This window comes from Homo sapiens, chromosome 10 (genome assembly GCF_000001405.40).
Source record: "Homo sapiens chromosome 10, GRCh38.p14 Primary Assembly".
In the NCBI taxonomy this organism is placed as follows: Eukaryota; Metazoa; Chordata; class Mammalia; order Primates; family Hominidae; genus Homo; species Homo sapiens.
Window position 1 is genome coordinate 32,542,757 of NC_000010.11, and position 22,956 is coordinate 32,565,712.

The 22,956-nt window shown below is 38.6% G+C and overlaps 1 protein-coding gene across 48 annotated transcripts in view; it reads left to right on the forward strand.

The window, feature by feature from the left end:
• The window catches only part of CCDC7 (coiled-coil domain containing 7), a 439,541-nt gene that overhangs the window by 99,433 nt on the left and 317,152 nt on the right, over positions 1-22,956 (forward strand). For 44 of the 48 annotated variants that reach the window (NR_109826.2, XM_047425743.1, XM_047425742.1 and 41 more), the window contains 3 exons: positions 544-629; positions 1,491-1,545; positions 22,802-22,864. Coding sequence is in view for 44 of the 48 variants with exons in the window: in XM_047425743.1 (XP_047281699.1) it covers positions 544-629; positions 1,491-1,545; positions 22,802-22,864 (204 nt within the window). In the remaining 4 variants the exon portion in view is untranslated. Of the gene's footprint in view, positions 1-543; positions 630-1,490; positions 1,546-1,977; positions 2,072-16,363; positions 16,391-22,237; positions 22,645-22,801; positions 22,865-22,956 lie in introns of those variants that run through there. The other 4 variants (XM_017016648.1, XM_017016652.2, XM_017016649.2 and 1 more) reach the window with 4 other exon arrangements.

A 22,956-nucleotide genomic window follows, 5' to 3' on the forward strand; every position in this document is an offset into this window, starting at 1 on the left:
CACTGTGCAATAACTCACAAGTTGCAACCTATTCAATGCTCACTTTCACAAACAAGTTTCAGGTCTTTCTCAAAATAAAAGTCTATATTTCTCATGGTATTTATGTATTCTTAATGACTGTGTACTATAGTACTGTTTTTCTTAGGTTTTTATTTTTAAAAATATATCACCAACAAGGTTTTTGCAAGATGTGCACCTAACCCATTTCCCCCATACATCCTACAGGTTTTATTGCATGTTTTTGCATAGTGAGGTGATTTTCAGGAAGGCATATACCACATTATAACATAATTGATTGATATTGTCAGAAAAATTTAAATGTTTTAATATGTATTAGGTTATATACAACTTACACCACGTAAAGCACTATTACAAACAGACCAGATGTGTCATTTTATTTTGCTTCTATGCAGATAATTTTTCCTGAAACGTTGTATAGTGACTCTCAGAGTAAAATGTACATTAATAATGTATATTATCATATCTTTCTATAACTTATTGTGTTTTTAACCCTTTATTTCTGGCTTATGTAAAATTATACAGAAAACTAAGCCTACAAATAATCGAACAAAGAAAGCTGTGAAAACAGTGAAGAAAAAAGACAAAGGAAAATCTGAGGATTCAGAAAAGTAAGACATAAAGATACATGTTAATCTTTTTTTCCTTGTTAATTTATATTTTCTTTTTATACAAACAATTTAAAGTCAAATAAACATAACTTATGAATAATCTTTTAAAAACATAAAATTGGCAAATACATGTTTTTATAAGCATACCAGTATATGATTATGGGATAAAGCTAAAAAGGGAAGAACAAAGAACCAAAAATGGACTGGAAGAGGAGATTGAACCACAATACATTCAGAAATAGGTGAACAGAATTAAATCTTTAATTTTAGGAAAAAAGCATTTACATTGTTTCTTTGATGGTCTAGCTCATGCTTTGTAATTTGTTAACTCCACAGTGTTGGCTGTTCTTTTCTACTGTACTTATTAATTGTATTATTCTTATAAAAAGTTATTTATTTTTTGTGTATGTGTATTATTATAAAGTGACATTATTAAGTAAATATTTTCTTTAGTATTATAATTATTGCATTTGAATTTGCCTGGTTAAACCCTAATATTAAAATAATTTTAAAAGGAAACTATGAAGTCAAACTTTATAGAATTCCACAAATCCTGAAAAGAAATTCATGGGACAAATGGCTTTGACCTTTAACAAAAAATGACCCGAGAAGAAAAAATGACCAATATGCTTTGACTATCAGTCTTTTCACATTTTAATCATACCAGTGAGAAGTTAGTTTGAGAAATGTTATTCAGTTGTTTGTAATTTAGCCTGTATGAATTTTATGTCTCTTAGAAATATGAATTTTTTTAAAAAAACTTCATTATTTTAAAATCGTTTAAAAAGTCCTCCTCAAGAAAGCAAAGCAGTGATGCATTTAAAAATATCATGATGCATTTTAAAACATTTTATGTTACAGGAAGATGTCTCCAGAAAAAGAGTTTAAAATAAAAGAAGATTTGGATCAAGTACAGGTAACACACCCACTCTCTCTATGCATCAATATTTGATTAATACTTGCTCTGATAGTCATATATAGAGAAACATTATTACGTATGTGATTATAGGGTATATATGTCTGTGTGTGTGTATGTGTCTCTGTGTGTGTGTGTACTAAAATTCTTCCTGAGATAATGTCTTTCTTGTTGATGGACTCTTCTCATCAAAGTTCAGAGAATGAAATGTCAAACCCAGGCATATTTATGTCAATATTATGAAAATTACCATGGTTTAAACAACTACAGGCAATACCATGGAGGAAAGAGCATCATATCAGGAGTCAGAACAGCAACTTACTGATTATATGACTTTGGATAATTCCCTTTAACCTATTTGAATTTCAAATTTTTCAAAATTTTCATAACCCAAATGTGTAAAACAATAGCTACTCTATTTGTCTTAAAAAGGTGTAAACATTTTAAGATGCAACGAAAAACTTCTTCAGAAATTGTAAACTCTGTGTCTGACTCTGGTTTGTGTGATCTAATTAGAGGAATACAGGTAAGCTGTTATTACATTTTGGCTTTTGAATATTCTTTTTTCTTTTGCTACATGTTAATTTCTTTTTTTTTGGATTTACGTTTTATTCAAAGGATAAATACAAAATTAAGAAAGATTTCAAATTCAAAGCAAATATGCTTAATATTTCAAAACAATTCTACATACAAAGTACAATAGGAAAAAAACCAAAAGCCCCCATAAATTAGAGTGGCTAGACACATTCAAGTCTAGCAGAAAGAAACTTGGAATTTAATGCAACGTTATTTCTCTTGTCTAGAAGCTAAAGACTTAATTGTCTCAGATATCTTCCATCTCCTTATGGGCATTACTTGAAGACAACAGTGGAGCAAGCTTTTTAATGAACTTGCCATGGTAAAAAACCAATGACAGATGCCACACTGGAAAGAGGACAACAATGTAACCTAAAAGGGAGCTACTGGCAGAAATAAAAACTAGTGATACTGATAATATCTAGACCTTTGTAGATGTTTAGAGTACTGTACAATCTTAAATTATTGTTTATCAACATTTTGGTCTCACAAATTAAGAATGTACTAGTTAAGAACCAAGGAGTTATACCCAGTTCACGCTACTGTTTCCTTCACTTGCCCTTTAGATATAATGAATCTGGAATTCTCAATGAGTGTTACATGGTTTGGGAATTCTGGCAATTTTCCTTCCATGACCTCCCTATACTTATCTCCATTTCAAAATATGCAAAGCTGAGTGACAGAGGCAAAAATTAATTCCTAAAGATCCAAAGGGTACACAATACCTGTCAAATTTCGTATGTCTGGGCAGGATGCGGTGGCTTACGCCTGTAATACCAGCACTTCGGGAGGCTGAGGCGGACAGATCACTTGAGGTCAGGAGTTCGAGACTAGCCTGGCCAACACGGCAAAACCCTGTCTCTACCAAAAATACAAAAATTAGCTGGGCATGGTGGCACGTGCCTGCAGTCCCAGCCACTCCAGAGACTGAGGCAGAAGACTGGCGTGAACCCAGGAGGCGGAGGCTGCAGTGAGCCGAGACCACACCACTGCACGCCAGCCTGGGCAACAGAGCAAAACTCCGTCTCAAAAAAAAAAAAAAAAAAAAAAAGATGTAGCCTCTGGAAAAAATGACGCATGTTGGTGAGGCAGCCTTAGGCTCTAGTGCAGAAGAATAGAGAAGGAGAGGTGGAGGAGGGAGAGAAGGAGAGACCAAAGACTGGGCTGAATTCTACAAGCAGGCAAAACAGCACATCTATCCATTCAAATCACCCTGGCATAACTGTCTCCTGAAAAACATATCGAATGCTATAACCACTGGGGATAGACTCTAGCATGCTGTTTATGAAAGGATTCTGTAAGGGAATCTTTGCTCTATAATTAACAGAGTACCAGATATTATAGAAACTTTAGATTGTCTTGCTACTCACTGACCTTAAATATTATCCTTCTTTTGCAACTTATCAAGTCACTTAAAAATTTTAATCATTGCATACCCTGTAAACTTCCTATAAACAACATGTGATTGCAAAATGTTTAAAAAGATGTGAGAAAATATCTGTGGAGTGTGGTATCAGAAAAGGCAGAGCCTTTGTTTTATCTAACGATTATTTCCCAAACTGGGAAATTGGGGTAGAGACAGCTAGATGTTAATTTCTTAACAACCATCTAGCATTATATCACCCATTTCAGTGAATGGCTCGAGTTAAGTGTACAAGTATGTGCAAGCGTACAAGTATGTATACACCTGAATGACCCAAGAACTAGATAACATAAATTTTGTAAAAAACAAGAGTACCACATAAAATAGTGAATATAAAATGTACTATTTTGTAGCATTAGTTTTCTATTGCTGCATAGCAAGTTACCACAAATTTAGCAGCTTAAACAATTTATATTATCTCATAGTTTCAGTGGGTTCGGCATCTGAGCATGGCTTAGCTGTGTCCTATGCTGTAATCAACTTATGCTCACCAGGCTATTATCAAAGTGTTGGCTGGGCTCCATTCCATTATATGTCTTGAGAATCCTCTTCCAAGCTCAAGTGGATGTGATAAACTTCAGTTCCTTGCAGTTTAGGGCTGAGGCACTTAACTTCTAGGGGCAGTCTGCAGTTTCCTGCCACATGGTCTTTTCCATAGATTGTTCGTATCATAGCACCTTTCCTCCTCCTCCTCCTCTTCTTCCTCTTCCTCCTCCTCCTCTTCCTTCTTTCTTCTTCTACAGGGTCTCACTCTGTCACCTAGGTTGGAGTGCAGTGGCATGACCCTAGCTCACTACAGCCTGAACTCCTGGGCTCAAGCCATCCTCCCGCCTCACCCTCCCAGGTATCTAGGACTACAGGCATGCACCATCACACCCTGCTAAGTTTTATGTTTTTTAAGTTTTTTGTAACACCAAGCTCTTGCTATGTTGCCCAGGCTGGTCTTGGATTCCTGGCCTCAAATGATCCTCCTGCCTCAGCCTCTCAAATTTTTGGGATTATAGGCATAAGCCACCATGCCTGGCTAGCTCACAAGAGTCTCTCTTGTCTGCTAAGACAGAGTTCTAATATAATGTAACTTGATCATAGGAGTGACATCCTCTCACTCTTGCTATATAATGAACCTAATAAAGGGAGTGGCATCCCATCACTTTGCCATATTCTATTGGCCAGAAGCAAGCCACAGATCCCACCCACACTCAGAGGGGCTGGATTATTATATATAACATGACCCTAAGGGTGAAGGTCATGGGATTATTTTAGATTTTTGCCTGCCGTCTTATTTTATTAAAAAAAAATTTATTTTTATTTCTGTGGGTACATAGTAGGTGTATATATTTATGGGATACATGAGATATTTTGATACAAGCATACAATGCATAATAATCACATCAGGGTAAATGAGTATCCATCTCCTCAAGCACTTTTCATTTCTTTGTGTTATAGATAATCCAATTATACTTTCTTAGTTGTTTTTGTCATTTATTTATTTTTAAATTTATTTTTCCATAAGTTATTGGGGTCCAGGTGGTATTTGGTTACATGAGTAAGTTCTTTAGCAGTGATTTGTGAGATTTTGGTGCACCCATCATCCAAGCAGTATACACTGCACCATATTTGTAGTCTTTTATCCCTCGCCCACCTCCCACTCTTGCCCTCAAGTCCCCAAAGTCTATTGTATCATTCTTATGTCTTTGCATCCTCACAGCTTACCTCCCACATATCATTGATGTTATAAATAAATATTTGGTGCCGCCAAAGAAACAGCACTCGAACATAAATTTAATTTTCTCAGCAAGGTAATTTTACTTCTATAGAAGGGTGTGACTTGCGGATGGAGCAATGGCAGGAGCACACCTGAACAAGGGAGGGGAAGGGGTTCTTATTCCTGGTGCAGGTAGCCCCTACTGCTGTGTTATTCCCCTATTGGCTAGGGTTGGACCGCACAGTCTAAGCTAATTCCGATTGGCTATTTTAAAGAGAGCAGGAGTATGAACTGGAGGGGCAGAGTCAGTAGTTTGGCAGGAAGGGCAGCTACAGAACAGATAATTCAGGTCAGAGCAGGTGACCAGGGTGACTCAGGACGGAGCAGGTGATCAGGGGTGACTCAAGACGTAGCAGGTGACCAGGGAAACATATGTGAACTACTGATTAGAACTGGTGGAAAAGGTTGTTTACTGAAACTAGGGGCGAGGAGAATGAAGAAGTTAAACTTTAAAATGGCGGACAAAGAACACGGGAGCTGAACATCCTGATACATTGGTTCTTTGGAGAGGATCTCAGAAATCATTGTACTTAACAATTTACAGGCTAAAACCTTTGAAGAGGAATTTATTATATCCTACAGTGAGAACATCCGATGTTTGGTTTTCCATTCCTGAGTTACATCACTTAGAATAATAGTCTCCAATCTCATCCAGGTCACTGCAAATGCTATTAATTCATTCCTTTTTATGGCTGAGTAGTATTCCATCATATAAATATACCACAGTTTCTTTATCCACTTGTTGATTGATGGGCATTTGGGTTGGTTCCATGATTTTGCAGTTGTGAATTGTGCTGCTATAAACATGCATGTGCAAGTATCTTTTTTGAATAATGACTTCATTTTCTCTGGGTAGATACCCAGTAGTGGGATTGCTGGATCAAATGGTAGTTCTACTGTTAGTTCTTTAAGGAATCTCTACACCGTTTTCCATAGTGGCTGTACTAGTTTGTGTTCCCACCAGCAGTGTAGAAGTGTTCTCTGATCACCGCATCCACACCAACATCTACTGTTTTTTGATTTTTTGATTATGGGCATTCGTGCAGGAGCAAGGTGGTATGGCATTGTGGTTTTGATTTGCATTTCCCTGATCATTCATGATGTTGAGCATTTTTTCATATGTTTGTTAGCCATTTGTATATCTTCTTTTGAGAATTGTCTATTCACGTTCTTAGCCCACTTTTTGATGGGATACTTTGTTTTTTTCTTATTGATTTGTTTGAGTTCGTCATAGATATTAGGTGTTAGTCCTTTGTCAGATGTATGGATTGTGAAGATTTTCTTCCACTCTGTGGGTTGTCTGATTACTCTGCTGACTGTTCCTTTTGCCGTGCAAAAGCTTTTTAGTTTAATTAGGTCCCAGATATTTATTTTCATTTTTATTGCATTTGCTTTTGGGTTCCTGGTCATGAAATCCTTGCCTAAGCCAATGTCTAGAAGGGGTTTTCCAATGTTATCTTCTAGAATTTTTATAGTTTTATGTCTTAGGTTTAAGTCCTTAACCCACCTTAAGTTGATTTATGTATAAGGTGAGAGATGAGGATCCTGTTTCATTCTCCTACATGTGTTTAGCCAATTATCCCAGCACCATTTGTTGAATAGGGTGTCCTTTCCCCACTTTATGTTTTTGTTTGCTTTGTCGAAGATCAGTTGGCTGTAAGTATTTGGGTTTATTTCTGGGTTCTCTTTTCTGTTCCATTGTCAGTGTGCCTGTTTTTATACCAGTACCATGCTGTTTTGGTGACTATGGCCTTATAGTATAGTTTGAAATCAGGTAGTGTGATGCCTTCAGATTTCTTCTTTTTGCTTAGTCTTACTTTGGCTATGGGGGCTCTGTTTTGGTTCCATATGAATTTTAGGATTGTTTTTTCTAGTTCTGTGAAGAATTATGGTGGTATTTTAATGGGGATTGCATTGAATTTGTAGATTGCTTTTGGCAGTATGGTCATTTTCACAATATTGATTCCACCCATCCATGAGCATGGGATGTGTTTCCATATGTTTGTGTCATCTATGATTTATTTCAGCAATGTTTTGTAGTTTTCCTTGTAGATGTCTTTCAACTCCTTGGCTAGGTATATTCTTAAGTTTTTTTTTTTTTTCAGCTATTGTAAAAGGAGTTGAGTACTTGATTTGATTTTCCGCTTGGTTGCTGTTGGTGTATAGAAGAGTTACTGATTTGTGTACATTAATCTTGTATCCAGAAACTTTGCTGAATTCTTTTATCAGTTCTAGGAGCTTTCTGGAGGTGTCTTTAGGGTTTTCAAGGTAAATGATTGTCAGCAAACAGTGACAGTTTGACTACTTCTTTACTGATTTGGGTGTCTTTTATTTCTTTCTCTTGTCTGATAGCTCTTGCTAGGACTTTCAATACTATGTTGAGGAGGAGTGGTGAGAATGGGCATCCTTGTCTTGTTCCAGTTCTCAGAGGGAATGCTTTCACCTTTTCTCCATTCAGTATTATGTTGGCATTGGGTTGTCATAGATGGCTTTTATTACATTATGGTATGTCCCTTGTATGCCGTTTTGCTGAGAGTTTTAAGGGATGCTGGATTTTGTTGAATGATTTTTCTGCATCTACTGAGATGATTGTGTGATTTTTGTTTTTAATTCTTTTTATGTTGTGTATCACATTTATTGACTTGGGTATATTAAACCATCCCTGCATCCCTGGTATGAAACCCAGTTGATCATGGTGGACTATCTTTTTGTTATATTGTTGGATTCAGTTAGCTAGTATTTTGTTAAGGATTTTAGCATCTATGTTCATCAGGGATATTGGTCTGTAGTTTTCTTTTTTAGTTATGTCTTTACCTGGTTTTGGTATTGGGGTGATGCTGGCTTCATAGAATGAATTAGGGAGGGTTCCTTCTTTCTCTATCTTAAGGAATAGTGTCAAAAGGATTGGTACCAATTCTTCTTTGAACGTCTGGTAGAATTCTGCTGTGAATCCATCTGGTCCTGGCCCTTTTTTTTGTTGGTAATTTTTAAATTACCATTTCAACCTCACTGCTTGTTATTGGTCTGTTCAGAGCATCTAATTCTTCCTGATTTAAGCTAGGAGGGTTGTATTTTTCCAGGAATGTATCCATCTCTTCTAGGTTTTCTAGTTTATGTGCATAAAAGTGTTCATAGTAGCCTTGAATTATCTTTTGTATTTCAGTGGTGTCAGTTGTAATATCTCCTGTTTTATTTCTTAGTGAGGTTTTTTGGATTTTCTCTCTTCTTTTCTCATTTAGTCTTGTTAATGGTCGATCAGTTTTATTTATCTTTCAAAGAACCAGCTTTTTGTTTCATTTATCTTTTGTATTGTTTTTATTTCAATTTCATTTAGTTCTGCTCTGATCTTGGTTGTTTCCTTTCTTCTGCTGGGTTTGGGTTTGGTTTGTTCTTGTTTCTCTAGTTCCTTGAGGTGTGACCTTAGAGTGTCAGTTTGTGCTTTTTCAGTGTTTTTGAGGTACACTTTTAGGGCTATGAACTTTCCTGTTAGCACTGCCTTTGCTGTATCCCACAGGTTTTGGTAGGTTGTGTCATTATTGTCATTCAGTTCGAAGAATTTTTAAATTTCCATCTTGATTTTGTTTTTGACCCAATGCTCATTCAGGAGCAGGTTATTTAATTTCCATGTATTTGCATGGTTTTGAAGGTTCCTTTTGGAGTTGATATCCAATTTTATTCCACTGTGGTCTGAGAGAGTGCTTGATATACTGTCAATTTTCTTAAATTTATTGAGGCTCATTTTATGGCCTATCATATGGTCTATCCTGGAGAAAGTTCCATGCGCTGTTGAATAGAATGTGTATTCTGTGGTTGTTGGATGAAATGTTCTGTATACATCTGTTAAGTCCATTTGTTCTAAGGTATAGTTTAAATCCACTGTTTCTTTGTTGACTTTCTGTCTTGATGGCCTGTCTTGTACTGTCAGTGGAGTACTTAAGTCCTCCACTATTACTGTGTTGCTGTCTATCTCATGTCTTAGGTCTATTAGTAATTGTTTTATAAATTTGGGACCTCCAGTGTTAGGTGCATAAATGTTTAGGATTGTGATATTTTCCTGTTGGACAAGGCCTTTCACCATTACAAAATATCCTTCTTTGTCTCCTTTGGCTGCTGTTGCTTTAAAGTTTGTTTGTCTGATGTAAGAATAGCTATCCCTGCTTGCTTTTGGTGTCCATTTGCATGAAATGCCTTTTTCCACCCATTTACTTTAAGTTTATGCGAGTCCTTATGTGTTAGCGAGTCTCCTGAAGGCATCAGATAGTTGGTTAGTGAGTTCTTATCCATTCTGCAGTTCTGTGTCTTTAAGTGGAGCATTTAAGTCCAATGTTAGTAATGAAATGTGAGGTACTGTTGCATTCATCGTGCTCTTTGTTGCCTGTGTACTTTGGGTTCTTGTTTATTTGTTTTTTGCTTTTGCTTTTTAACTTGTATTTATGTTTTATAGATCCTGTGTGAATTTATGCTTTAAAGAGGTTCTGTTTTGATGTGTTTCCAGGATTTGTTTCAAGATTCAGAGCTCATTTTAGCAGTTCTTGTAGTGGTGGCTTGGTAATGGCGAATTCTCTCACCATTTGTTTGTCTGAAAAAGACTGTATCTCTCCTTCATATATAATGCTTAGTTTCGCTAGATACAAAATTCTTGGCTGATGATTGTTTTGTTTAAGGAGGCTGAAGATCGGGCCCCAATCCCTTCTAGCTTGTAGAGTTTCTGCTGAGAAATCTGCTGTTAATCTGATAGGTTTTCCTTTATAGGTTACTTGGCGCTTCTGTCTCACAGCTCTTAAGATTCTTTCCTTCATCTTAACTTTGGATAACCTGATGACAATGTGCCTAGGTGAAGATCTTTTTGTGATGAATTTCCCAGGTGTTCCTTGTGCTTCTTGTATTTAGATGTCTAGATCTTTAGCAAGGCTGGGGAAGTTTTCCTTGATGATTCCTCCAAATATTTTTTCTAAGATTTTAGAATTCTCTTCTTCCTCAGGAAAATCGTTTATTCTTAGGTTTGGTCATTTAACATAATCTCAGATTTCTTGGAGTCTTTTTTTTTTTTTTTAATTCTTTTTTTTTATCTTTGTTGAATTGGGTTAATTTGACGACTGTGTCTTTGAGCTCTGAATTTCTTTCTTCTACTTGTTCAGTTCTATTGCTGAGACTTTCCAGAGCATTTCATATTTCTAAAAGTGTGTCCAGAGTTTCCTGAATTGTTGATTGTTTTTTTCTTTAAGCTTTCTATTTTCTTGAGTATTTCTCCCTTCACTTGTTGTATCATTTTTTGGATTTCCTTGCATTGAGCTTCACCTTTCTCTGGTGCCTCCCTTAATAACTAACCTCCGGAATTCTTTTTCAGGTAAAGCCGGGATTTCTTCTTGGTTTGGGTCCATTGCTGATGAAGTATTATGATTTTTGTGGGGAATGTTAAAGAGCCTTGTTTTGTCATATTTCCAGGGTTGGTTTTCTGGTTCCTTCTCATTTGGATAGGCTCTGTCTTAGGGAAGGTCTAGGGCTGAAGGCTGTTGTTCAAATTCTTTTGTCCCATGGGGTGTTCCCTTGATGTAGTACTCTCCCCCTTTTCCTATGGATGTGGCTTCCTGTGAGCCAAACTGCAGTGATTGTTGTCTCTCTTCTGGGTCTAGCTACCCAGTGAGTCTACCTGGCTCTGGGCTGCTATTGGGGGTTGTTTGCACAGAGTCCTGTGATATGGTGGTTTAATGCTCTATTTTTGTGCTGGTTGGCCTCCTGCTGAGAGGTGGCACTTTCCAGAGAGCATCAGCTGTGGTAGTATGGAGAGGAAGAGGCGGTGGCTGTGGCCCTAGAACTCCCAAGATTATGTGCCCTTTGTCTTCCCCTACCAGGGTGGGTAGGGAAGGACCATAAGGTGGGGGCAGGGCTAGGTGTGGCTGAGGTCTGACTCCTTGGGTGAGTCTTGCTGTGGCTGCTGTGGGGAATGGGGTGAGATTCCCAGGTCACTGGAGTTGTGTACCTAGGAGGGTTATGGCTGCCTCTGCTGAGTCATGCAGGTTGTCAGAGTTGTCCGGCCAAGTGGGCAGTCACAGGGCTCACCCAGCTCCCACCCAAAATGAAGGGCCCGTGTTGCTCCCAACCTCCCCTGCAATAGCCCCAAGTCTGTTTCCAGACGGTGGGCGAGTTGGGCTTGAAAACTTGCTCCAAGCTACCCGCCTTCACAGCTGCGAAAGAAAAGGGCTTGGTTCTTCCCAGACCTATGGAGTCTGCACACCAGATTTGTGCCCTCCCCTGAGTTCTGGCCAGGAGGTTTCTTGCCCTGTTCAAATTGTTACAAAGTTCAGCTAGAACTGCTTTTCCCTGTGGAGTTTTACCCCCTGGTCCTCTGTCTGTCCTCCCAATGGATCCCTGTGTTTCCAGGCAGGAATGGCCTGCTTCAGGACCCAGTGAGCTCCCAGGGCTTTTCTGCTGCTTCTTCTACTCTTATATTTCACTTGGCTCTCTAAATGGACTCAGTTCCAAGTAAGGTCAGAAACTTTTCCAACAAACAGACCTTCTGTTTCTCCAGTGGAGAGTGTGTTTTCGGGAAAGGAGGGTCTCCCTTTCCTGCTTCCGCAGTTGGGGCACTCACAGTATTTGGGGTGTCTCCCAGGTCCTGCAGGAGCTGTCTGCTTCCTTCAGAGGGTCTGTGGGTCTTTTTAAGTTTTTTTAAAATGTACAATAAATGATTGTTGACTGTAGTTGCCCTGTTGTGCTATCAAATACTAGATCTTACTCATTCTTTCTAATTATATTTTTGTACTCATTAACCATTGCCACTGCACTCCACCCCCTACTACTATTTGCAGCCTCTGATAACCATCATTCTGCGCTCTATCTCCATGAGTTTGTTTTGATTTTTAGCTCCCACAAATAAGTGAGAACATGTGAAGTTTGTCTTTCTGTGCCTGGCTTATTTCACTTAATGTAGTGACCTCCAGTTGCAAATGACAGGATCTCATTCTTTTTGTATGGCTGAATAGTACTCCATTATGTATGTGTACTACATTTTCTTTATTCATTTGTCTGTTGATGGACACTTACATTGCTTCTAAATCTTAGTTATTTTTGAATTGTGGTGCAATAAACATGGGAGTGCAGATATCTTTTTAATATACTGATTTCCTTTTTTTGTACATACCTAACAGTAAGATTACTGGATTATATGTTAGTTCTATTTTTAATTTTTTTTTTTTTTTGAGATGGAGTCTTGCTGTGTGGCCAGGCCAGAGTGCAATGGTGCGATCTCAGCTCACTGCAACCTCTGCCTCCTGGGTTCAAGTGATTCTCCTGCCTCAGCTTCCTGAGTAGCTGGGACTATGGGCGGGCGCCACCACACCCAGCTAATTTTTGTATTTTTAGTAGAGGCGGGGTTTCACCATGTTGGCCAGGATGGTCTCGATCTCTTGACCTCGTGATCTGCCTGCCTTGGCCTCCCAAAGTGCTGGTATTACAGGTGTGAGCCATTGTGCTTGGCCTATTTTTAACTTTTTAAGGAGAGGACACATTCTGTAAGGAAGTCATAAGGCCAGTCCATATTCATAGGTAAGAGTAGCATGCATATATAGGGTGGGAAAAAATTGTTGGTAGCCATTTATGGAAATAATCCAGTACAATATTCAATTTTTGTAAGTGTTCTAATGACATAAAATAATGCACATTTTCTACTGCTAGGTATACCAATTAGCTTTTCCTAAATAACAAATTATTCCAAAACGTAGTAACTTAAAACAGTAGAATCATTATTTCTCATAGTTGCTGGGCAGCTCAGCTTAGTTTGGATGTGCAAGATAAGTTTTATTCCTATGTCTGACGTTCCAGCTGGGACATCTGGGACAGGTGGGACTTCTTTCTAGTCTCTTATCTTCCAGGATGATAGCTCTGGGTAGTTTAAAGAAGGATCCCTAGTAGCAAGAGATTAAAACAAAGCTGAAAGATCTCTGGAGGCCTCAGCTCACATCACTCATGGTGTCATTTGTGTTGTATCCTCTTGGCCCCAACAAGAATTAGGCCAACTGAGTTTCAAGAAGTGAGGAAATAGATTGTACCTTTTTATGGGAGCTATTGTGAAGAATTTATGGCCATTTGTAGTCTGCCACAGTGGGGTATATATTTTCTCTCTCCCTGTGTATAAAATTCAATTAAGTCTAGATTTGTTTCATTATTTTAATTTTCTATCATCTTTATTCGTTAGAATATAGACTAGGCTGCTATAAAAAGAGACGCCATATAATTCAATGGCTTAAACAAGGTAGAATATCATTTTTATCTCATGTAAAGTTTGAGTTGATGGTTCCAGCAAGTACAGTAGTTTGATGTTGTCTGGTACCTAGACTCCTTACTTCTTGCTCTTGTTTCTCATTGAAACATAGAAATTTTTATCATATCTCAAATTTTTTATCTATATCAAGGGAGTTTTCTTATTTCTTTCGTCATCATTTAACTTTCTTCTTCCTTTTATCCCGCTGAGACTCGTATTTGAATATTATGATTTCTACATTGACTGTTTTAAGTCTTCTATCTTTTTCATCATGGCTTCTATGTGTATGTTTGTTCTGTGGTATGAGATATGTCTTCCATTTAATTTACAAGATTTCTAAACTTATTCTCAAAAGTAAGCAACCTTTCTCCTTTTCACTTCCTCTTGAACTTTTAAGTTAAAAAAGTCATGTTTGCTTTCTTTAAAAATCTCAGGAGATCCTAATTTAGGGTTCTAATTCCATCATTCAGAGAACACTATCAGGGTCTTAATGTTTTCTTTCTAATTATTTTCTGTTTATCCCTCTAGCTCTGCTTTAGTAGGGGCTATGTCTTTGGATTGTTCAACTTCCTCTCTGAAGTTACTTAGTCCCATCCCATGGTTTATTGCATTTCTGTGCCTGTTTATGGACATGTTTCCTCAGCAGCTCATTGGTCATGTGTTGAAATCGCTTGTGCAGTTGTTGTAAGGTTTACTTTTGTTCCCATTATCACGTGCTTTTGTTTTATAGATGCTGTGTTCTCTCAAATTTCAATGAGAATAAAATGTAGATTTAGGGATTTCTTTTGTTTCTTAAAATAACTTTGTTACAGAAAAGGGGCATTTATTCTGTAAAGATATTTTTTCTATTTTTGCTTGGCTTTCATTTTTTTCTGCTGAGAAGCAATTATTAAAATCATCATTTCCTTTTGTATAATATGTCATTTTTCTTTGGCCACTTTTATTGCTTTTTTTTTTTCCTTTTATTTGGTTTTCAGCAGTTTGGCTTTGTTTTACGTGAGCATGATTTTCTTTGTAAATATCAACTTGGGCAGCACTGAACATGTTGAGTATGTTAATTTCACCAAGTTTGGGACATTTTCAATGTATTATTATTTTAAAAATATTTTGTCTACCACTTCCTCTCTCTCTTTTCCTTATGGGATACAATTATATATTAGACATATGATTTTATCCCACAGTTGCCTCAGTATCTGTTAGTTAAAAAAAATCTTTGTTGTTTGTATTTAGATTGGGTATTTTGTATCGATATATTTTCAAGTGGTTTGACTTTTTCCACTGTCATCAGATCCCATCTGTTCTTATGCTCATACATTAAATTTTTAAATTCAGATATTATGATTTTCAGTTCCAGAATTTCCATTTGACTATTTTTTTTTTAAAGAGACATTGTCTTATTTTTATTACCCAGGCTGGAGTACAGTGGCAGGATCATAGCTCACTGCAGCTTTGAGCTCCTGGGCTCAAATGATCCTCCTGCCTCAGCTTCCCAAGGAGCTAGGATTATAAGTGTGTACCACCATGGATGGCTAATTCAAAATGTGTTTTATAGACATAGTGTCTTGCTATGTTGCCCAGGCTGGTCTTGAATTCCTGGCCTCAAGCAATCCTCCCACCTTGGCCTCCTGAAATGCTGGGATTATAGGTGTGGGCATGCATTTTTTATAGCTTATATTTCTCTGCTAAGATTTCCATAATTTTATTTATTATGAGCATATTTTCCTTTATGCTGGACATTTTTATTATGCTTGCTTTAAACATCTGTATGTGAATTTTAAAATCTGGATTGTCTTGCTTGGGATCACTTTTTGCTCATTGTCTTTTATCTTAAGAATTAGTTTCACTTTTCTGTTTCTTCAAATGTCAAGTATTTCTAAATTATATCCTGGCTATTATGAATATCATATTCTTGAAACCCTAGATTGTGTTATATTCTTCTGATTATTATTATTTTTTTCTTTAATATATAATTAACACTATTCGATTTAAAATGTAAATTCTATGTTTAGGTAGCAGCTCACATTGCATTTTAGTTTTTTTAGCTTTTGCTAGGCTGCTTAGTCTTCTTTATGCATATGTAGTTCAGGGGTCAGGTGGAGATTTGGGTAGAGTTTATACAAAGAATCTGGGGCTCCCTATCTTATCTTCTTTTCTTTGTGTAATTTCCCTCTAACCTTTCCAGTGGCTTGAATTGTCCTGAACTCTGTCCTCTGGTGGTTTTTAAATCAGCTACTAGGCACCTTGAATGGCTCAGATAGGGATTGCCCTCAAACTAAAAGCCACAAAAATGAGAATCTTCCCTAGAGTTCTTCCCTTCCTCCAAATGTCACCTTCCGTCAAGAATTTACCTATGAGGGAGCAGCCAAGATGGCCGAATAGGAACAGCTCCGGTCTACAGCTCCCAGCGTGAGTGACGCAGAAGACGGGTGATTTCTGCATTTCCATCTGAGGTACTGGGTTCATCTCACTAGGGAGTGCCAGACAGTGGGCACAGGACAGTGGGTGCAGTGCACCATGCGTGAGCCGAAGCAGGGCGAGGCATTGCCTCACTCGGGAAGCGCAAGGGGTCAGGGAGTTCCCTTTCCTAGTCAAAGAAAGGGGTGACAGACAGCACCTGGAAATCAGGTCACTCCCGCCCTAATACTGTGGTTTTCCAACAGGCTTAAAAAACAGCGCACCAGGAGATTATATCCCGCACATGGCTTGGAGGGTCGTACGCCCACGGAGTCTCGCTGATTGCTAGCACAGCACTCTGAGATCAAACTGCAAGGCGGCAGCGAGGCTGGGGGAGGGGCGCCCGCCATTGCCCAGGCTTGCTTAGGTAAACAAAGCAGCCAGGAAGCTCGAACTGGGTGGAGCCCACCACAGCTCAAGGAGGCCTGCCTGCCTGCCTCTGTAGGCTCCACCTCTGGGGGCAGGGCACAGACAAACAAAAAGACAGCAGTAACCTCTGCAGACTTAAATGTCCCTGTCTGACAGCTTTGAAGAGAGCAGTGGTTCTCCCAGCACGCAGCTGGAGATCTGAGAACGGACAGACTGCCTCCTCAAGTGGGTGCCTGACCCCTGACCCCAGAGCAGCCTAACTGGGAGGCACCCCCCAGTAGGGGCAGACTGACACCTCACACGGCCGGGTACTCCTCTGAGACAAAACTTGCAGAGGAACGATCAGACAGCAGCATTTGCGGTTCATGAAAATCCGCTGTTGTGCAGCCACTGCTGCTGTTATCCAGGTAGACGGTCTGGAGTGGACCTCTAGCAAACTCCAACAGACCTGCAGCTGAGGGTCCTGTCTGTTAGAAGGAAAACTAACAAACACAAAGGACATCCACACCAAAAACCCATCTGTATGTCACCATCATCAAAGACCAAAAGTAGATAAAACCACAAAGATGGGGAAAAAACAGAGCAGAAAAACTGGAAACTCTAAAAAGCAGAGCACCTCTCCTCCTCCAAAGGAACGCAGTTCCTCACCAGCAATGGAAGAAAGCTGGATGGAGAATGACTTTGACGAGTTGAGAGAAGAAGGCTTCAGACGATCAAACTACTCTGAGCTACAGTAGGAAATTCAAACCAAAGGCAAAGAAGTTGAAAACTTTGAAAAAAATTTAGACGAATGTATAACTAGAATAACCAATACAGTGAAGTGCTTAAAGGAGCTGATGGAGCTGAAAACCAAGGCTCGAGAACTACGTGAAGAATGCAGAAGCCTCAGGAGCCGATGTGATCAACTGGAAGAAAGGGTATCAGTGATGGAAGATGAAATGAATGAAGTGAAGCGAGAAGGGAAGTTTAGAGGAAAAAGAATAAAAAGAAACGAACAAAGCCTCCAAGAAATATGGGACTATGTGAAAAGACCAAATCTATGTCTGATTGGTGTACCTGAAAATGACAGGGAGAATGGAACCAAGTTGGAAAACACTCTGCAAGATATTATCCAGGAGAACTTCCCCAATCTAGCAAGGCAGGCCAACACTCAGATTCAGGAAATACAGAGAACGCCACAAAGATACTCCTCGAGAAGAGCAACTCCAAGACACATAATTGTCAGATTCACCAAAGTTGAAATGAAGGAAAAAATGTTAAGGGCAGCCAGAGAGAAAGGTCGGGTTACCCACAAAGGGAAGCCCATCAGACTAATAGCGGATCTCTCAGCAGAAACTCTGCAAGCCAGAAGAGAGTGGGGGCCAATATTCAACATTCTTAAAGAAAAGAATTTTCACCCAGAATTTCATATCCAGCCAAACTAAGCTTCATAAGTGAAGGAGAAATAAAATCCTTTACAGACAAGCAAATGCTGAGAGATTTTGTCACCACCAGGCCTGCCCTAAAAGAGCTCCTGAAGGAAGCACTAAACATGGAAAGGAACAACTGGTACCAGCCACTGCAAAAACATGCCAAATTGTAAAGACCATCGATGCTAGGAAGAAACTGCATCAACTAACGAGCAAAATAACCAGCTAACATCATAATGACAGGATCAAATTCACACATAACAATATTAACTTTAAATGTAAATGGGCTAAATGCTCCAATTAAAAGACACAGACTGGCAAACTGGATAAAGACTCAAGACCCATCAGTATGCTGTATTCAGGAAACCATCTCACATGCAGAGACACACAGGCTCAAAATAAAAGGATGGAGGAAGATCTACCAAGCAAATGCAAAACAAAAAAAAAGGCAGGGATTGCAATCCTAGTCTCTGATAAAACAGACTTTAAACCACAAAGATCAAAAGAGACAAGGCCATTACGTAATGGTAAAGGGATCAATTCAACAAGAAGAGGTAACTATCCTAAATATATATGCATCCAATACAGGAACACCCAGTTTCATAAAGCAAGGCCTGAGTGACCTAGAAAGAGACTTAGACTCCCACACAATAGTAATGGGAGACTTTAACACCCCACTGTCAACATTAGACAGATCAACGAGACAAGCCAGGAATTGAACTCAGCTCTGCACCAAGCAGACCTAATAGACATCTACAGAACTCTCCACCCCAAATCAACAGGATATACATTTTTTTCAGCACCGCACCACACCTATTTGAAAATTGACCACATAGTTGGAAGTAAAGCTCTCCTCAGCAAATGTAAAAGAACAGAAATTATAACAAACTGTCTCTCAGACCACAGTGCAATCAAACTAGAACTCAGGATTAACAAACTCACTCAAAACCGCTCAACTACATGGAAACTGAACAACCTGCTCCTGAATGACTACTGGGTACATAACGAAATGAAGGCAGAGATAAAGATGTTCTTTGAAACCAATGAGAACAAAGACACAACATACCAGAATCTCTGGGACACATTCAACGCAGTGTGTAGAGGGAAATTTATAGCACTAAATGCCCACAAGAGAAAGCAGGAAAGATCTAAAATGGACACCCTAACATCACAATTAAAAGAACTAGAAAAGCAAGAGCAAACACATTCAAAAGCTAGCAGAAGGCAAGAAATAAGTAAAATCAGAGCAGAACTGAAGGAAATAGAGACACAAAAAACCCTTCAAAAAATTAGTGAATCCAGGAGCTGGTTTTTTGAAAGGATCAACAAAATTGATAGACCACTAGCAATATTAATAAAGAAGAAAAGAGAGAAGAATCAAATAGACGCAATAAAAAATGATAAAGGGGATATCACCACCGATCCCACAGAAATACAAACTACTATCAGAGAATACTACAAACACCTCTCCGCAAATAAACTAGAAAATCTAGAAGAAATGGATAAGTTCCTCGACACATACACCCTCCCAAGACTAAACCAGGAAGAAGTTGAATCTCTGAATAGACGAATAACAGGCTCTGAAATTGTGGCAATAATCAATAGCTTACCAACCAAAAAGAGTCCAGGACCAGATGGATTCACAGCCGAATTCTACCAGAGGTACAAGGAGGAATTGGTGCCATTCCTTCTGAAACTATTCCAATCAATAGAAAAAGAGGGAATCCTCCCTAACTCATTTTATGAGGCCAGCATCATCCTGATATCAAAGCCGGGCAGAGACACAACCAAAAAAGAGAATTTTAGACCAATGTCCTTGATGAACATTGATGTAAAAATCCTCAATAAAATACTGGCAAACCGAATCCAGCAGCACATCAAAAAGCTTATCCACCATGATCAAGTTGGCTTCATCCCTGGGATGCAAGGCTGGTTCAATATATGCAAATCAATAAATGTAATCCAGCATATAAACAGAACCAAAGACAAAAACCACATGATTATCTCAATAGATGCAGGAAAGGCCTTTGACAAAATTCAACAACGCTTCATGCTAAAAACTCAATAAATTAGGTATTGATGGGACGTATCTCAAAATAATAAGAGCTATCTATGACAAACCCACAGCCAATATCATACTGAATGGGCAAAAACTGGAAGCATTCCCTTTGAAACTGGCACAAGACAGGGATGCCCTCTCTCACCACTCCTATTCAACATAGTGTTGGAAGTTCTGGCCAGGGCAATTAGGCAGGAGAAGGAAATAAAGGGTATTCAGTTAGGAAAAGAGGAAGTCAAATTGTCCCTGTTTGCAGATGACATGATTGTCATCTGGGCTAGAAAACCCCATTGTCTTAGCCCAAAATCTGCTTAAGCTGATAAGCAACTTCAGCAAAGTCTCAGTATACAAAATCAATGTGCAAAAATCACAGGCATTCTTATACACCAATGACAGACAGAGAGGCAAATCATGAGTGAACTGCCATTCACAATTGCTTCAAAGAGAATAAAATACCTAGGAATCCAACTTACAAGGGATGTGAAGGACCTCTTCAAGGAGAGCTACAAACCACTGCTCAATGAAATAAAAGAGGATACAAACAAATGGAAGAACATTCCATGCTCATGGGTAGGAAGAATCAATATCATGAAAATGGCCATACTGCCCAAGGTAATTTATAGATTCAATGCCATCCCCATCCAGCTACCAATGACTTTCTTCACAGAATTGGAAAAAACTACTTTAAAGTTCATATGGAACCAAAAAAGAGCCCGCATTGCCAAGTCAATCCTAAGCCAAAAGAACAAAGCTGGAGGCATCATGCTACGTGACTTCCAACTATACTACAAGGCTACAGTAACCAAAACAGCATGGTACTGGTACCAAAACAGAGATATAGATCAATGGAACAGAACAGAGTCCTCAGAAATAATGCCACATATCTACAACTATCTGATCTTTGACAAACCTGAGAAAAATAAGCAATGGGGAAAGGATTCCCTATTTAATAAATGGTGCTGGGAATACTGGCCAGCCATATGTAGAAAGCTGAAACTGGATCCCTTCCTTACACCTTATACAAAAATTAATTCAAGATGGATTAAAGACTTAAATGTTAGACCTAAAACCATAAAAACCCTAGAAGAAAACCTAGGCATTACCATTCAGGACATAGGCATGGGCACGGACTTCATGTATAAAACACCAAAAGCAATGGCAACAAAAGCCAAAATTGACAAATGGGATCTAATTAAACTAAAGAGCTTCTGCACAGCAAAAGAAACTACCATCAGAGTGAACAGGCAACCTACAAAATGGGAGAAAATTTTCGCAACCTACTTATCTGACAAAGGGCTAATATCCAGAATCTACAAAGAACTCCAACAAATTTACAAGAAAAAAACAAACAACCCCATCAAAAAGTGGGCCAAGGACATGAGCAGACACTTCTCAAAAGAAGACATTTATGCAGCCAAAAAACACATGAAAAAATGCTCATCATCACTGGCCATCAGAGAAATGCAAATCAAAACCACAATGAGATACCATCTCACACCAGTTAGAATGGCAATCATTAAGAAGTCAGGAAACAACAGGTGCTAGAGAGGATGTGGAGAAATAGGAACACTTTTACACTGTTGGTGGGACTGTAAACTAGTTCAACCATTGTGGAAGGCAGTGTGGCGATTCCTCAGGGATCTAGAACTAGAAATACCATTTGACCCAGCCATCCCATTACTGGGTATATATCCAAAGGACTATAAATCATGCTGCTATAAAGACACATGCACACGTATGTTTATTGTGGCACTATTCACAATAGCAGAGACTTGGAACCAACCCACATGTCCAACAACGATAGACTGGATTAAGAAAATGTTGCACATATACACCATGGAATACTATGCAGTCATAAAAAATGATGAGTTCATGTCCTTTGTAGGGACATGGATGAAATTGGAAATCATCATTCTCAGTAAACTATCGCAAGAACAAAAAACCAAACACCGCATATTCTCACTCATAGGTGGGAATTGAACAATGAGAACACATGGACACAGGAAGGGGAACATCACACTCTGGGGACTGTTGTGGGGTGGGGGGACGGGGGAGGGATAACATTAGGAGATATACCTAATGCTATAATGACGAGTTAATGGGTGCAGCACACCAGCATGGCACATGTATACATATGTAACTAACCTGCACATTGTGTACATGTACCCTAAAACTTAAAGTATAAAAAAAAAAAAGAATCTACCTACACTTGGCTGGGTGTGTGGTGGCTCATGCCTATAATCCCCATGCTTTGGAAGGCTGAGGCAGGAGGATGGCTTGAGCCTATGAATTTGAGACTGCAGTGAGCTAGGAACCCACTGCTGCACTCTAGCCTGGGTAACAGAGCAAGACCCTGTCTCTTAAAAAGAAAATAAAATAAGTTAACAAATCTGCCTACTCTTGATTGTTCTCCTATTGTTGATACTTGTATTTAGTCCAGAGTTTATGGTTGTTATGTGTGGCAGCATTTGTCTAGTGGGAACTCAGTCATATCAGAAGCAAAACTGGGAACTCTAAATATGGTCCTCAAAGTGTCTTTAATTTGATGGAGAATTCCTGGAACATCATGTGTAATAGAATTTACTCATTTGCACAAAGCCAGAACAATGTTTATTTTGTGTTAAGAGTAGAGGTTCTTCTTTTAGTAAAATTTGAAATTCTTCTTTTTAAATATTTCAGGCCTAGAGGAAAGGAGAAATGAAATGTTTGATTTACTGCAATTGTAATTTCCCCGATTCATGCTCAATTTGCCTGTGAAAAATCAATAGGAAGCTTTAGCTTCAGGTATTATCCACCATTACACTTGAGAGATGTGCAGTTCAATGTCTATGCTCAATTCTTATCTTGGGTATCTATGGGTTTTGGAAAAGTAATACTGGTAAAACTAAATTAATTAAAAATACCAAAGTAAATACCTTTTTTCCCCCTTCTTACTTCCTAGAAAGTAGCACGTCTGGAAATTGAGAACAAAGTCCTTCAGGAGCAATTGAAACAGGCTTTACAGGTAAAGGATGTCATGTTTCTTTAACATTGTTAACAAGTAAAGAAAATATCCACAAAGAACTTTTCAAATGAATAATTTTTACTTTGTAAGCT